General features: G+C 52.2%; 1 protein-coding gene and 1 long non-coding RNA gene across 3 annotated transcripts in view, besides 6 other annotated features; both read left to right on the forward strand.

Annotated features, from left to right (window-relative positions):
• The window catches only part of BCL7A (BAF chromatin remodeling complex subunit BCL7A), a 40,161-nt gene extending 31,731 nt beyond the window's left edge, over positions 1 to 8,430 (forward strand). The window contains exons 5-6 of one of the 2 annotated variants that reach the window (NM_020993.5): positions 1,191 to 1,375; positions 5,478 to 8,430. In NM_020993.5, the coding sequence (NP_066273.1) occupies positions 1,191 to 1,375; positions 5,478 to 5,549 (257 nt within the window). In that variant the 3' untranslated portion in view covers positions 5,550 to 8,430. The remainder of the gene's footprint in view (positions 1 to 1,190; positions 1,376 to 5,477) is intronic. The other variant, NM_001024808.3, reaches the window with a different exon arrangement.
• Positions 1,164 to 1,778: an enhancer, noted in NCBI's record as "H3K27ac-H3K4me1 hESC enhancer chr12:122492684-122493298 (GRCh37/hg19 assembly coordinates)". NCBI's record gives its function as "activates a minimal SCP1, AML or CMV promoter by ChIP-STARR-seq in primed H9 embryonic stem cells {active_cell/tissue: H9 hESC(primed)}" and the evidence as "EXISTENCE:reporter gene assay evidence [ECO:0000049][PMID:30033119]".
• Positions 9,289 to 9,583: a silencer, noted in NCBI's record as "tiled region #9922; HepG2 Repressive DNase matched - State 1:Tss". NCBI's record gives its function as "represses a minimal TATA promoter and a strong SV40 promoter by Sharpr-MPRA in HepG2 cells {active_cell/tissue: HepG2}" and the evidence as "EXISTENCE:reporter gene assay evidence [ECO:0000049][PMID:27701403]".
• On the forward strand, positions 9,676 to 14,946 carry LINC02985 (long intergenic non-protein coding RNA 2985). The gene is made up of 4 exons (NR_135044.1): positions 9,676 to 9,917; positions 10,936 to 11,068; positions 14,414 to 14,577; positions 14,675 to 14,946. It is a non-coding gene; the product is annotated as a long intergenic non-protein coding RNA 2985 (long non-coding RNA).
• Positions 10,449 to 10,743: an enhancer, noted in NCBI's record as "tiled region #8907; HepG2 Activating DNase unmatched - State 1:Tss, and K562 Activating DNase unmatched - State 1:Tss". NCBI's record gives its function as "activates a minimal TATA promoter and a strong SV40 promoter by Sharpr-MPRA in HepG2 and K562 cells {active_cell/tissue: HepG2 | K562}" and the evidence as "EXISTENCE:reporter gene assay evidence [ECO:0000049][PMID:27701403]".
• Positions 10,504 to 10,653: a silencer, noted in NCBI's record as "silent region_5007". NCBI's record gives its function as "represses an Ori minimal core promoter by ATAC-STARR-seq in GM12878 lymphoblastoid cells {active_cell/tissue: GM12878}" and the evidence as "EXISTENCE:reporter gene assay evidence [ECO:0000049][PMID:35858748]".
• Positions 10,694 to 10,923: an enhancer, noted in NCBI's record as "active region_7198". NCBI's record gives its function as "activates an Ori minimal core promoter by ATAC-STARR-seq in GM12878 lymphoblastoid cells {active_cell/tissue: GM12878}" and the evidence as "EXISTENCE:reporter gene assay evidence [ECO:0000049][PMID:35858748]".
• Positions 11,064 to 11,113: an enhancer, noted in NCBI's record as "active region_7199". NCBI's record gives its function as "activates an Ori minimal core promoter by ATAC-STARR-seq in GM12878 lymphoblastoid cells {active_cell/tissue: GM12878}" and the evidence as "EXISTENCE:reporter gene assay evidence [ECO:0000049][PMID:35858748]".
• Positions 14,947 to 15,368: the final 422 nt, after the last annotated feature.

Here is a 15,368-nt window from a genome sequence, read left to right on the forward strand (position 1 = left end):
AGTGTCTGGCTCTGTGTCCAGTAAGCTTTAGGAAAAACCGCTGCCGCCACTGCCTCCTCCCAAGCTGCACCCACCCCCCCGCCCCATCCAGCCTGCACCTTCCTTCTGCTAAAGAAAACTTGGGGTGGAGCAGCAGGAAGACAGGCATGAGAAATCACCCGAATAACTGGGTTCATTCTACTGGCGATTCCTTGATGGAATGGTGTGCGGCCATCTTGTAAGCTGTGATATTTAAAGAACCTTTAAAGACATGAAGAATTCCTCCGAAATACCACATGACCCCCATTTGGGAAGAGGAGAAAATTTGTACGCATGGAGGGAGGGGAAACTGGAAAGACGGGAATTAATCCTCTAAAACATTAGTGGGGTGGTCCCTGGGTGGTGACAGGTGATTTTTAACTTTATTTTTTCTGTACTTTTCTGTTTCCTGCAATGGTCAGTCATTGCTCTGGCAATCGGAAAAATACCCTTATTATTGTTATTATTTTGAGACGGAGTTTCGCTCTGTCACCCAAGCTTTAGTGCAGTGGCGCGATCTCGGCTCACTGCAACCTCCGCCTCCCGGGTTCACGCCATCCTCCTGCCTCAGCCTCCCGAGTAGGTGGGACTACAGGCGCCCGCCGCCACCACGCCCGGCTAATTTTTTGTATTTTTAGTAGAGACGGGGTTTCACCGTGTTAGCCAGGATGGTCTCGATCTCCTGACCTCGTGATCCGCCAGCCTCGGCCTCCCAAAGTGCTGGGATTACAGGCCTGAGCCACCGTGCCCGGCCAAATACCCATATTATTAAGAGAAATGTTTACAAAAGGTTAGGACGAAGCCACCTTGGCTGCGGGAGAGAGGAATTGACAGCCATGATTGTTGGTGCGCACTGCGGCCGCCAGGGGGTGCTGGGTGCACGCAGCACAGAGACTGCAGCCTCCTCCAGTCGCCTCCCAGGGCCCTCAGCAGCTAAGTGTGCAGGAGAGGGTTGCAGACGCCAGGGTCCGTGTGTGACCTGGCTGCTGGAAACAGCGCCACTGAAAAATCAACAGGAGACTCCCCAGCCCTCCAGCCCCCCAGCTCATTGTAGCCTTCAAAGACCACTGGCCCCAAAACTACCCGATTCAAGGTATTTTCAGTATTTGGCCCCACCGGCCCCGCCTCTCACGTGTCTGAAAACAGCTCCTGTCGTCTTGCTCTTCCCTCAGATGCTTCTGATGAGCAGAATTCACAGTCCTCGATGGAACATTCGATGAACAGCTCAGAGAAAGTAGATCGGCAGCCGTCTGGAGACTCGGGTCTGGCCGCAGAGACGTCTGCAATCTCTCAGGTACCTCGCTCGAGGTCTCAGAGGGGCAGCCAGATCGGCCGGGAGCCCATTGGGTTGTCGGGGGTACGTTGAAAGGTGTTTCGTCATTGTGTTTTGTTGTTTTGTCGTTGGACCATTGGAACTGTCATTTGTCCATTGGGCTATGTCCATGAACACAGTCCTGGGCTCTGCCTTGGGCTCTGGGGCCGAGGGATAATGAGACTTGTGGCCTCTGCCCTCAAGGAGCCTCTGGGTCGGAGGAGGATGAAGGGACCTTGAACCCAGCCTCGGCTGCTACGTTTTGTCTGTTCAGGTTCACACAGGCATTGCCTCATCTCAGTGATCCCCAGATCGGTGACCTTTAGAGCTGGGAAGACAAGACTTCAGAAACCTAAGTGGTGGGGCCTCCGACGGAGCGGTGCTGCTGGCCCCACTTGCACTGCATGGGCCCCTCTCCAGGGCATCACTCTGTGTTGGAATCTGGTCTGAATGAGTCAGCACAGGTGCAGTGGGGCCCGGTGGTTAGGAGCAAACCTCCCAGAGTCGGGCCCAAGTTTGAATCCCAGCTCCCAAAATGGGATCACGGAACTGTCTTAGGGCCACCGTGAGGATTCGATGGGAGAACTTGGGTAAAACACTTAGCATGGAGCGGACACAAGATGCAGAGGTGTCATTGGCCATGACCACTATTAGGATTTTTCACTGTAAATCCTCTAGACTTTTTTTCCTTCGAGACAGAGTCTCACTTTGTCACCCAGGCTGGAGTGCAGTGGCATGATCCCGGCTCACTCCAACCTCCACCTCCTGGATTCAAGCAATTCTCCTGCCTCAGCCTCCCAAGTAGGTGGGATTACAGGTGCCTACCACTCTGCCTGGCTGATTTTTGTATTTTTAGTAGAGATGGGTTTCACCATGTTGGCCAGGCTGGTCTCAAATTCCTGACCTCAAATGATCCACTCCCTCAGCCTCTCAAAGTGCTGGGATTACAGGCGTGAGCCACTGCGCCTGGCAACTTCAAAATCTTTAAACCCTTTGATTGGCAGGTCCCTTTCCAGAACCTCACCCCATGGAACCCCCTCCACATGCCCTAGCTCTAAGGGGCTGCTTAGGGAAATCTGGGGTCTTGTCTGAGACAGACTAGGGCGCAGCCATCTAGAAGAGCATGGTTGTGCCTTCCAGGTTCTGATAAACATTCTTGCAGCGTGCAGTGAGAAAAGCAAGCTGCAGATCCGCAGGCGTAGCATGAGCCCATCTGGTTAAAAACAGTAGAAACCAAAGCCTGGTGATTTATATTAAGACCAAAGTTGTCGGCTGGGATCTCTGGGCCTCTTGATCTCAGAGAAGAAAAGCTCAGCTTGAAACTTTGATCCATACCCTGAGAGTATCCAATGCTCCCCCGCAGTACCTGGAAATGCCAGGAGTCCCCCATTCTCACATCGCCCCCACTACCCCACACTCTTGCTTCCAGGAGACCCAGACCTAAAATTGGGCCTCTTCCACCATTTTCACAGGCACACCGACACACATATTGTCCACAGAGCTAGGTGTGTGAGTGACATGGAGGATGTACTCCAGTAAAGCAGACAGCCTGACATTTCAAGCAATACGTTTTTGGCCGGGTGCAGTGGCTCACATTTGTAAGCCCAGCACTTTGGGAGGCTGAGGCAGGTGGATCACTTGAGGCCAGGAGTTCGAGACCAGCCTGGGCAACATAGCAAGACCCCGTCTCTCCAACAAAAAGAAAAAGAAAATTAGCCAGGCATGGTGGTGCGCTCCTATAGTCCCAGCTACTCTGGAGGCTGAGGCGGGAGGATTGCTTGAGCCTGAGAGTTCAAGGCTGCAGTGGGCTATGATCCTACCATTGCCCTCCAGCCTGGGTGACAGAGCAAGACCCTGTCTCAAAAAAATAAATACAGAAAAAAGGAGAGAAAGGACAGAAAGGTAGCCTTCCTGACTCCCTGCGATCCCTGCTCCCAGGGTCCCCCAGAAGGGGCTCATGTCACTGTCTCTGCAAGTCCATCGCATGTCCTACTCGAGGCCTCTCCTCTGCAACATTTATCTCTGAGAACCCACCATGGACCAGGGGCTATACCTAATCCCTGCCTGCCACAGTGGGGCTGACAATGGGCTCAGGATAAGCAGACACAAGTAGGTCACAGAGTCCCACTAAGTGCCGTGAGAGAGTGAAACAGGGTGACGTGAAGAAGCAGAACAGGCCATGGGTAGAGGGTGCTGTGGCTGGCGTCAGCAGGGAGGGGCTGGCTGTGAGCCGGACATGAAGGGGGCCCAGGCTGGGACGGTGAGCTCTCCAGGCAGGGGCAGACCAAGGTGCAGAGACCTCAAGACAGGAGCCAGCTTGAAGAACGAAAGAGAGGCCAGGGTGGCCGGGGAGGCCAGAACCTGGTGGGTGAGGAAGAGAATGGTCTGATGAGGGAAGAAGTGGGCCAGGCTTGTCACTAGGGCCTTCTTGGTCCTGGTGAGGAACTGGGTTTGTTCAGAAGTCAGTAGGAAAGTTGTGGAATGCTTTGTATTTGTAAGTTGTGGTTTCTATTGGAGGAAGGTTGCTGGGGCCATCCTGTTGGCCACAAGCAGGCTGCTCCATCAGCCAGGCCAGAGGCCGGGTTGGAGGGGGGGTGCGGGCGGAGAGGTGGCTTCAGGGGGTGTCCAGGCCTGGGTCTTTCTCCCAGGCTGATGGGGAGCACCAGTTAGGATGGCTGCGGTCAGGAGTTTGGTCTCAGGTGACAGGTTAGGTTTGAGAGGCCCAAGACAATTGTGTGATGGATGAGTGAGTGTTAAACCTTTTCTGGTGTCCTGGGTTTCATGGGAATTCAGTGACAACTACAGACCCTTTCCCCCAGAATAACACACACACATATGTGTATACCCAGCAAATGCTGAGAGTCCAGCCCAGACCAGGCACTGTGCCCAGCCCTGCAGGAGCAGGAGTCTACATGGCAGAGTGGGTCTGGGCCTCTGGGAGATGGCCTAGAACTTGCAGAGATTGCCAGGCATCATGGCTCACACCTGTAATCCAAGCAGTTTGGGAGGCTGAGGCAGGAGGATCCCTTGAGCCCGGGAGTTCAAGACCAGCCTGGGCAGCATAGCAAGACCCCATCTCTACAAAAAACTTAAAAAAAAAAAATCATCCGGGCATGGTGGCACATGCATATAGTCCCAGCTACTCAGGAGGCTGAGGCAGGGGGATCCTCTGAGACCAGGAAGTCGAGGCTGCAGTGAGCTATGATGACCACTACACCCCAGCCTGAGCAGCAAAGCAAGACTCTGTCTCTAAAAAAAATTATAAAAAGAACTTGGAAAAGCTGGTGCGGTGGCTCACGCCTGTAATCCTAGCACTCTGGGAAGGTGAGGCGGGCAGATCACCTGAGGTCAGGAGTTTGAGACCAGCCTGGCCAACATGGTGAAACATGGAGACATGGTGAAACCCTGTCTCTACCAAAAATACAAAAAATTAGCCAGGCATGGTGGTGTGCACCTGTAATCCCAGCACTCTGGGAGGCCGAGGTGGGCAGATAACCTGAGGTCAGGAGTTTGAGACCAGCCTGGCCCACATGGTGAAACCCCGTCTCTACTAAAAATACAAAAATTAGCCGGGCATGGTGGCGCGTGCCTGTAATCACAGCTACTTGGGAGGCTGAGGCAGGAGAATCACTTGAACCCAGGAGGCGGAGGTTGCAGTGAGCCAAGATTGCCCCACTGCACTCCAGCCTGGCAACAGAGTGAGACTCCATCTCAACAACAAAAACAAGAACTTGGAAAGGTGAACTTGAAACAATAATCACAAGTAATCACCCTAGCAATGAATCATAGATGGGAAGATTGATAACAGCAACTTCTGGTCCAGTCTGAATGAGTGGGGAGAGCCTAGGGTCCAAGGCAGCAGTGTAGGAAATGCTCCCGAGTTACCAGCCATTGGCATGTGATAGGGTCAGGCAGGGGCCAGGGGACACCGCGCTCCATAGCTCCAGGAAGAGTTTGGGTGTGAGGGTCTCCATAGGTCCTCAAACTCTCTGGAGTCCACGCTTGGGCCTCGGGTCTGGAACTGCTGGTCTGAACCACAAAGCCGCCCCCGCTCGGTTCCTTCCTTGGCTGACCTTCGGCCTCACGCCTGGCCTAACTTGCTCTCCTGGCCCATTAACCTGTGTTCCCCTTTTCTCCTCTCCCCAAGGATTTGGAAGGAGTGCCACCCTCTAAAAAGATGAAACTGGAGGCCTCTCAACAAAACTCCGAAGAGATGTAGACGATGCTTTAAAGCCTCCGATCCATGTTCCATGGAAGGTACATCAGCAATTAATTCTAGAGCAACTTTGCCCCAGCGATTCCTCTTGGGTGCGAACAGAACTACTAACGTTTCAAGTTTACCAAGTGCAAATCCAAGAAGACCCAGAACGGCGTCACTTCTCAGACACTGAAGAACTCTGCTGTGAAGCAAAACACTCAAACCTTTAAGGGACTGTCCTTGGGGAGGCAGGCGGGGCTGACAGCTCAGGAGTGTCTGCACACTGTCTCGGAAGCCAGGATTCCATTTGTGTTGCTGCTGTATTTTCCCCCCACTTCTCTATGTAACGATATAAGCTATCGGAGGGTGGTACCGATCAGGAACGCTTTTTGGCGGGGCTTTCCACTGTTCAACCGATTCCTTCCGCTTTCTTTTTTTGTGCCTTGTGCCCTTGAGGTGACCTCTGGCATGTATCCTGGTGGTTCTTACATCCCCCTCTGCAAAGTGCCCTCTTGGTTTGGTTCGGGCGGCGGCTGCCACCCTACTCACCGCTCTCCTCCCTGCCCCAGGACTTCATCGGAGCAGGCAGGGTGGAGCGAAGGAGCTCCTTAGCCCACCTGGTTTGCAGGTGCAGGGGGACCTTAGGCACGCCCCAAGCACCAGGCACCAGGGCCCAAGGACGCGCAGGTGTTGGGGCACAGTCCCCAAGGGCTCGGCCCCTTGGATCAGGCTGGGCACTCGCTGTGCTCTCCCCTCCTTGGGGCGTTTAGGACTGGGCGTCTCCAAGCCCACCATGGCCCAGATGGACGTGCAAAGCCCTTGGAATTTTCTGGCACTTCCTCTCTATTGCCCCCACCACCACCACCCCCATCACTGCTTTCTCCCAGACCTCCGAATACGAAATGGCTTCTCTGGCTGACTGCAAGGCTGTCTCCTTAAGGCACTGAGTGGGCCGGGGAGGCTGGGAGCCGGCGGCAGGATTAGCTGGTGCTGAACTTTCTCTCATAGGACGTCGCTTGGATTTCAAATCCACGGTCACCTGCTGCCCTTTGCCTCCCCCGACGCCCCAGCCTGTGCCCCGGAGAGGCAGGATCGCAGTGGTCAGAATCCACGTGCTTTCCTATTCTCAGGCTGTTCTGACTCTGAGCCAACAGCTGGACCGTGTCTCATCCCCAGAACATGCCGTCTGTCCCCACCGGGGAGTGGGCCTTGATGGCCGGGCCTCGAAGGCCACAAACAAGGCGTCGAGGAATTGGAAAGATTTGCACACCCTCCAGAAAGGAGAGACGCAATCTCCCCTCCCTCCCATCCCCCACCTTCGCTGGAACAGCTTCCTCTCACTGAACGGAGACGCCCCCTTGGACGAACTGCCTAATCGTTTGGTTCTGAGGCCTGGTTTGCTCTTAATTAATATATGAACTCCTCAGACCTTAAACCTTTTCCTAAGCTTTCTTTACTGCACTGGAGTTCTGACTCCCTTTGAGTTGTGTGTTACTGGGGGTGGGGTGGGGTCATGGGTTTTGTTGTTTTTGGGGGCTAATTGGTGCATATTCAGGTACCACCTTTGACGTGTGGCTCTTTCTCCTGACCATCATGGGAAGTGTCTGCTGGATTCCATTTTCTAAGAGTTTCTGAGGGTGAGGCTCTTATTTTTTTTTTTAAGGGATCCTGTCTATTTCCTGCACTTCGAGAAGAATCAAAATGTTCCTGAATTTCAAATACCTCATGCAAAATGTCTCCTGAAATAAGGGAAAAAAAAAAAACCACAACTTTGAAAATCTTAATGTTGAAGTTAGCAATGCCGAAAGGTTTCTGTCTTAAAAAAAAAAATCCTTGTACTTATCAATTTTGCCCCTTAGGCAGTCAGTTTTGTTGAGAACTGTGTCCTGCATCCTGGCGCAGAACCTACCTGATGCGGTTCCTCTCCACGCATCTCGAGGCGGCGTTACCTCCAGATTCCGTAGAGTTAGAGTCACATTTTTCTTTGCAGCGAAACTCCATCTTGGTGAGAGATGAATTTGGATATTTATTTCCTTCTCTGTTTTTGGGAAACGAGAGGCTACAACCAAGACAGCTGAAGGAGAATGAAACACACACATCCACAGAAACAGAGAGGCGTAGGTGGCCCTGCCGTTGACCGCAGCCTCTCTGGACAGGCAAGGGGAGTTGGCGCAGGTGAGGACTCAGACGACGTCCACCGTCCCAAGGCTGTCACTAGTATTTCTCTGAAGTGCCTGAAGGTAGGAATGGGCCGGCGATTGGGACCAGCTGGGCCCCACCACGGCCACGCCAGGCAAAGCGCCAGCAGCCCTGCACTCCACGCTGGCCAAGAAGGCCTTCCACGCAGAATGACAAGACTGCAAAAATCCGATGTGCTTCCTTCCCTGGCGCAGTCGCTCCTCGAGCCGCTGCCCCCCACCCACCCTGCACCCCTCGCCCTCCCCCCACCACAGAATCTAAGACCTTTCAGCTTCGAGCCAGGGGGCGGGGGATCCCGAGCAAAAGCCTTCCGTGGACATCAGGCCCCGTGGCCTCAAGGGCTCCCAGGGCAAACCTAATTCCCCCCAAAACGTGAAGTCGGGGAAGCTGCGGCTACACATTCCACAAAGTGCTGGCACTTACACCCACAACCCGGAAGGCTGTGGACCGATTCCTCTAGGGTGGTGACCTCCCATTAGCAAACGGTGTCATGGTTTGGAATGTTCATTATCGCCAAGAACCTGGTTAGAGGCATAAAGACCTTTTTTCACCGTTACCTAATTTTTTCCCCTTTCAAGAATTTTTTTTTTTTTTGGTGTGTTGTACAGCAGTATAATTTTTCACTTATTTATTCCATCAGTAGATATGGTTTGTACAATGTACAATTGTTTCATTTCAGAAAATAAAAATTTCAAATCATGAATACCTTGTGGTTTTGTCTCATTTTAAGTAAGGTCAGATCGATGGTGACGGTGTCCCTCTCCAGCTGCTCCGGCCTCTCTTGCTTGGCCGTGTGGCCCTGATTCTACAAGACACACAAGTTCCTTGCACACAGGAGCTGTTGCCTTCCATAGTCATAAGAGCTGCCATTATTAAGCACCAGCTGGATGCCAGGCAAGCCACTAGTTGCTCCTTTCTGTGGGCAGGTATTGTTGGCCACCTTGTGCAGGTGAGAAAACAGCAGGACAGTCCCCTGCAGGGCTCTCATGCCGGGTCAGGCCCCCAGGTTGAAAGCCACACCTGAGGCCAGGCGTGGTGGCTCATGCTTGTAATCCCAGCACTTTGGGAGGCCGAGAAGGGCGATCACCTGAGGTCAGGAGTTCGAGACCAGCCTGGGCAACATGGCGAAACCCCGTGTCTACTAAAAATAGAAAAATTAGCCAGGTGTGGTGGCACACACCTTTAATCCCAACTAGTTGGGAGGCCAAGGCAGGAGAATGGCTTGAACCTGGGAGGCAGAGGTTGCAGTGAGCTGAGATCACGCCACTGCACTCCAGCCTGGGTGCAACAGAGTGAGATTCTGTCTCAAAAAAAAAAAAGCCACACCTGATCCGCCTACCCCGAGACCTGGGTTCCAGCAGGGACATGTTTTCAGCTTCCCTGTCTCTGAGGGGACTCTGGATTGTGGTAGGGACTCAGGGGCGTTAGTGCATGGGTGGACTGCAACCTCGGCTTGACTTGTCCTAACAGCCTCTAGTGACTTACATGGTTGGGCTGGAACCAGACCTTTCCCAGGGCTGTGACCCTTTCAGCCCAGACTCCTTCCCCCACGCTGACTTCCCCACCTCTGTCCAGCGTCACCTGGCCCTTGGGTCAGCCCCTAAAGAGAGCTGGCAGGGGTGGGGGTGTTGTGTCAGCGGGTCTAGGCCAAGCTGCACTGCGTGGACCGGCTGCAGGCAGATGCTCTCTCCTGTTTGTTCTGTCTGACTCTCCTTCCTACCCGTTCCTTTTTAACATGTTCCAGTGTTTTTACCAGAATTGGCTGCTCAGCTAAATAAACTCCTGATATGGAAAGTTCAGCCTGACAAAACACAAATCATAGAGGCCTTGTTTGCTTAAGGAAAAAAAATGCCTGAGCTGGCACACGTTCCCGCGCTTCCTTTCTGCCCTCCCTGCGTGTCTGTTCCCAGCTCTCACTCTCTGGATCGGTCCCTCCCTCCTCTCTCTAAGGCTTCTGCCCTTTCCCCCTGCCTCCCTTGTCTCCACCCGCCTAGATCACTGTCTCACAGTCATTCTGTGGAACTTCCTCTGTGTCTCTCACTGGAGCCGCCTAACTTCCTCTCCCACCTCCCTTCATCAAGGAGCAGTCTCATGCCCAGGAGCTAGAAATGTAGGCTTTGCCGGCATTGGTTGAGCTGTGCTGGGCCCTAGGCAGCGATGACTCAAACTTGACCCTTAACCCCCAGGCAGGTAAGTGAGCCGCAGTGCTTTACGATGCCGACCACAGTTTGGAATTAGGGGATACAGACATTCTGATGGCAAGGGTCAGGGAATCTCCTAGGACACTGGAGGAATACCAGGCCTGGGGCTAAGCAGCTCGTTTTTCCTTTTTGACACAAAGGAGGGGCTGGAGGCTTCTGAGCCAAGGCTCTGCTGGACTAGGGATGGTGTTGCCAATGAATAGCATGGATTGGAAAAGACCAGACTGGAAGTGGGAGCCGGGCAACTAGGGAACTGGAACAATAGGCCAAGCGGGGGGCCAGCGGTTGGCAACAGGGCCCATGTGGCCCCAGGCAATGTGAAGGCGGTCAGTAGGCAGGGAGGTGGGGTGGGAAAGGGATCAGCTGGGGGAGGTAGGCAGAAAAGGCTCAGGTCCAAGTTCCAGGCCATGCTAAGGCAACAAGTGTCACAGAGGTCCGTGGTGGGGCCGAGGATGGACTGCAGACCCTAAAGGCCAAGTCCAACTTCCCTCTATCGCTCCTCTGGGTGAAGAATGCATGTTTCCTCCAGAGTCTCAGATTAGATAGACATCCTTTGACCTTGTCTATCCAGTTCTGTTTCCCTCTTCTTCCCATAGGGGTCTCCCTCCCTCCCCGTCCTTAAGTGGGGCGGGCACTTAGCCCAGGGTGGTGATATGACCCAGTCCTATCCAATCACCATGGTCCCGCCTCCTGGCTACCACAATTGGCTCAGGGATGAGCACGTGGCCCATAGCAGCCCAGTGAGAGTCAGCCCTGGGTGGGAACTGGTGGGAAAGAATTCTGCTGGAGCATCTGGAGTTGCTCAAATGGAGTGGCTGTGGCCATCTTTCCTTACACGTGGGGAGGAATCAGCCTGAGAATGAAACCATCACAGGAAAGGGCTGAAAGACGGTGAGTGTGTGCTTTCTAAGGGCAGCATTTGGGCCTTGGCCCCAGCCGGCCCTGAAGCCAGCACAACCCCCGGAACGTCTCAATTTGTGAGCCAATAAATGCCCTTGATGGTTTAGGCAAGTTTTCACTGGGTCTTACCCGACGTGAGCCCCCACTCCTCCATATGGACCTGTTTTGGACCAATGAGGCATCCTCTTCTGTAGTCCTCAACACGCGGAGCTCCACCACTCCTGAGCAGTGTGACCTCAGGCAAGTATCTTAACCTCTCTGGGTCCCTGTTTCCTCATCTGTATAATGAGGACAATAATAATGCCTACCAGGGTTGTTGTGAGGATTAAATGAATACGTGTAAAGCGCTCAAGGCAGGCCCAGGCACACAGTGAATCTCAAATGTTAACTGCTATTTTATAGTTATTATCCTCGCGCACCTCTAGCTTTAGAAGACCAGTTCCGAGAGCAGGAGGCACAGGGAAGGGAAGAATGGCCCTCCCCTGGTTGCCTTGGGTTTGCCCTCAGTTACACTTTGCTCTCTGAAGACCCACCTCTTCCCCAAGTGATTGACACTGGAGTCATCCGCACAGCATGCTCCAGATGCGGCACAGCCTGAGTCAGGCCTTGTGGGATGCGCCCACCCGGGAACAGGAAGGAGAGACGTGCCTGACTGAGCAGAGGGCTGGAGGTCAGACAACACGTCCCTGCCCTGGGCACTGGCTGCTCAGTCATTAAAACAGACCCAAATAGCTTCTGGCCAGGGGCTCAAAGGAACAGCCTGTTAGAGACTCAGTTTTCCAGTCTCTCTTCACTGTTGTTCTCTCTCCACAGGTGGGGTTGGGGAGAGGCCTCGGGATGGCAAGGACCAGGGTCTGCGGCCAAGCCTGTGGGTCCTGTCTCCCTCTAGGATGCCCCTGGGACACTGGTACCCATGGATGCACTGGGTGACTTGAGGTCAATGGCTTTCTCTCTCCAGACCTAGGCAGAAAAAGCAATCTGCTTTGCATCAGAGAACCTCAAGAGGCTCTTAATCCTGCTCTTTTCTCCCTCTGGGCTCCCTCCGTGATGAGCTCATCTGACCTCCTGGCAACCCCGAAGGGTGGTTTAGAGCAGGGAATCAGCCTCCCGATTTACAGAAAGGATAACTCAGGCCAGGGAAGCGACTTGGACAGGGTCCTGCAGGGACTCAGTGAAGGAGGCTTCGGAACCCAGCCTGTCTTCCAGCAGGCCAGGAATCAGCAAATCTGGCTACCTGTTTTTTTATTTTTATTTATTTATTTATTTTGAGACAAAGTCTCGCTCTTGTCATCCAGGCTGGAGTGCAATGGCATGATCTCGGCTCACTGCAACCTCCGCCTCTGGGGCTCAAGCGATTCTCCTGCCTCAGCCTCCTGAGTAGCTGGGATTACAGGTGCCTGCCACCACGCCCAGCTAATTTTTGTATTTTTAGTAGAGATGGGGTTTCACCATGTTGGCCAGGCTGGTCTTGAACTCCTGACCTCAGGTGATCTGCCCGCCTTGGCCTCCCAAAGTGCCGGGATTACAGGCCTGAGCCACTATGCCCAGCCCACCTGATTTTTTTAAAATAAAGTTTTATTGGAACAAGCCATGCTTATTCATTTACATATTGTTCCTGGCTGCTTTCACCATGCAACAACAGAGTTGAATACAGATGCTCTTCAATTTACAGTGGGGTTACTTCCCAGTAAGCCCATAAATTGGCCTGTGGTCCCAGCTAACTTGAAAGGCTGAGTGGGAGAATCACTTGAGCCTGGGAGGTCAAGGCTGCAGTGAACCCTGATGGCGCCACTGCACTCCAGCCTGGGTGACAGAGTGAGACCCTGAGTGAGGGTCCCAAGTAGCTGGAAGCCTACAGGTGCATTCCGCCATGCGCGGCCCTTTTTTTTTTTTTTTTTTTTTTTTGGTAGAGACTGGATTTTACCATGTTGCCCAGGCTGCTGTTGAACTCCTGGCTTCAAGTGATCCTCCTACCTTGGCCTCTGTAAGCATTTACAGGGATTACAGGCATGAGCCACTGTGCCCAGCCCTGAATATTTAATCAACATGTAAGGGTGTAGCTCAATGATTTTTCACCCACTGAACACACCTGCATGACTTGCATCTGCATCAATAAACAGAATATCACTAATCCCCAGTCCCCTTCTTATCCCTGTCTAGTCACTACCCCTCGAAGTGTGGCCGACACCCTGACTTCTACCTGCACCGATTTCTTTGGCTTATTTTTTAGCTTTACATACACAGAATGATGTAGTGTGTGCTCTTGTGTGTCTAGCTTCTTTCACTCAACATGGTATTTGTGAGATTCAGTACTGCTGTGTGAGACTGTATGTCATTCATTCTCATTGCTGGAGAATATTCCGTGGGATGAGTGTACCACAATGTGCTTATCCATTCTTTGGACATTTGAGATATTTCCAGCCAGGGTGGTGGGGAGAATTATGAATTCTGGAGGATCGCTTGAGGCCAGGATTTCAAGACCAGCCTGGGCAACATAGCCAAACCCCATCCCAAAAAAAATTTAAAAATTAGCCAAGCATGTGATACACACCTTTAGTCCCAGCTACCCAGGAGGCTGAGGTGTGAGGATCGCTTGAGCCCAGGAGTTGGAGAGTGCAGTAAGCCAAAATTGTGCCACTGCACTCCAGCCTGGGCAACAGAGCAAGATCTTATCTAAAAAAAAAACGAAACAAAAAAATGGCCTGGCAAAATCTTTGTGACTTTGGTTAGCGAAAGCTTTTTGCTAAACGTTTGCCTAACCCCCTCCCCACCGAACAAAAAAAAAACTTCTTTTTGCCTGTAAATCCATCACTTTGGGAGGCTGAGGCAGGCAGATCACTTGAGGTCAGGAGTTTGAGAACCAGCCTGGGCAACATGGTGAAACTCTGTCTCTACCAAAATACAAAAGTTAGCCGAGTGGCCGGGCATGGTACACCTGTGATCCCAGCACTTTGGGAGGCCAAGGTGGGTGGATCATCTGAGGTCAGGACTTTGAGACCAGCCTGGCCAACATGGTGAAACCCCATCTCTACTAAAAGTACAAAAAATTAGCCAGGAGTGGTGGTGGGCGCCTGTAATCCCAGCTATTTAGGAGGCTGAGGCAGGTGAATTGCTTGAACTTGGGAGGCGGAGGTTGTAGTTAGCTGAGATTGCTCCACTGCACTCCAGCCTGGGCAAAAAGAGTGAGACTCTGTCTCAAAAAAAAAAAAGTTAGGGCCAGGCATGGTGGTGCGCACCTGTAATCCCAACTATTCAGGAGGCTGAGGCCCCAGAATCACTTGAACCCAGGAGATGGCGGTTGCAGTGAGGCGAGATTGCGTCACTGCACTCTAGCCTGGGTGATGAAGTGAGATTCTGCCTCAAAAAAAAAAAAAAAAAAATTCCAAACCCACACCCATCTATTTCTTCACCCTTCTGTGCCTCAGTTTTCTTATGTGTAAGATAAAGGTAACTGTCCCTGACCTGCCCACCTCCCAGGGTTGTGTGGGAACCAGTTAGATCTGGACCTTTGAGGAAGGCTGTACAAACTGTTGAGGGCTTTTCAGCCATGAAACTCTTCTGCCCGTACCCCATAAATACAATTAGGTGCTTGCTGCAGAGGCATCGGGGGTCTCTGGCCAGAGGTGACATCTGAAGCAATCGGGATCCTGTTTGGTTTTGCCACATCCGACCTGCCGCCCAGCTGGGGCAAGACAGCCACGCGCGGCGGATGCACCGGCCCTGAACTCTTTCTCGAGTAGTCCCCAGAGGTAGCTGCTGCCTTTCAGTTTCTGCACTTGTTTATTTTCAAAGGGACGTTGCCAGACCACGAGGCCACCCTGCCCTTTCATGGTTTGTTTTATGCAGATTTCAGGAAGAGAGAGAAGAGGTAAAGAGACCAGAAACAAAGTCTTCTGCAAGCAAAGAACTGCAACAGGCCCCAGCTGTTAGGTTTGAGGGGCGTATGGGGCAGGCGACTGAACTGCAGAGTTGGAGCCAGAGGTACCATTGCTGACCCCTGAGCCCAGGAGCCTTGAGAATACTGACAGTGTTAATAATAACTGCAATCATCCAACATATGATGCTAGAATAACTGGACATCTGTGTGCAAAAATATTAAACCTATACCTTGCACCTTATCACAAAATTCACTCAAAATAGATCATAGACCAAAATGTGAAACATAAAACTAAGACTTCCAGGGGAAAACAGGAGAAAATCTTTGTGACTTTGGGGTTAGGCAAAGCTTTTTGCTAAAGACATTGATAAGAGATTGAAAAAACAAGCAGATTGCCAGATGATCTTTGCAAAACATGTATCTGATAAAAGACTTGTAGCCAGAACATATAAAGAACTCTCTTTTTTTCTTCGTTGTTCTTTTTTTTTTTTTTTTGAGATGGAGTCTCACTTTGTCGCCCAAGCTAGAGTGCAGTGGGGCAATCTCAGCTCACTGCACCCTCTGCCTCCTGGGTTCAAGCAATTCTCCTGCCTCAGCCTCCCAAGTAGCTGGGATTATAGGGCATGCGCCACCATGCCCAGCTAATTTTTTTTTTTTTTTTTG

Source organism: Homo sapiens, chromosome 12 (assembly GCF_000001405.40).
Source record: "Homo sapiens chromosome 12, GRCh38.p14 Primary Assembly".
Classification (NCBI taxonomy): Eukaryota; Metazoa; Chordata; class Mammalia; order Primates; family Hominidae; genus Homo; species Homo sapiens.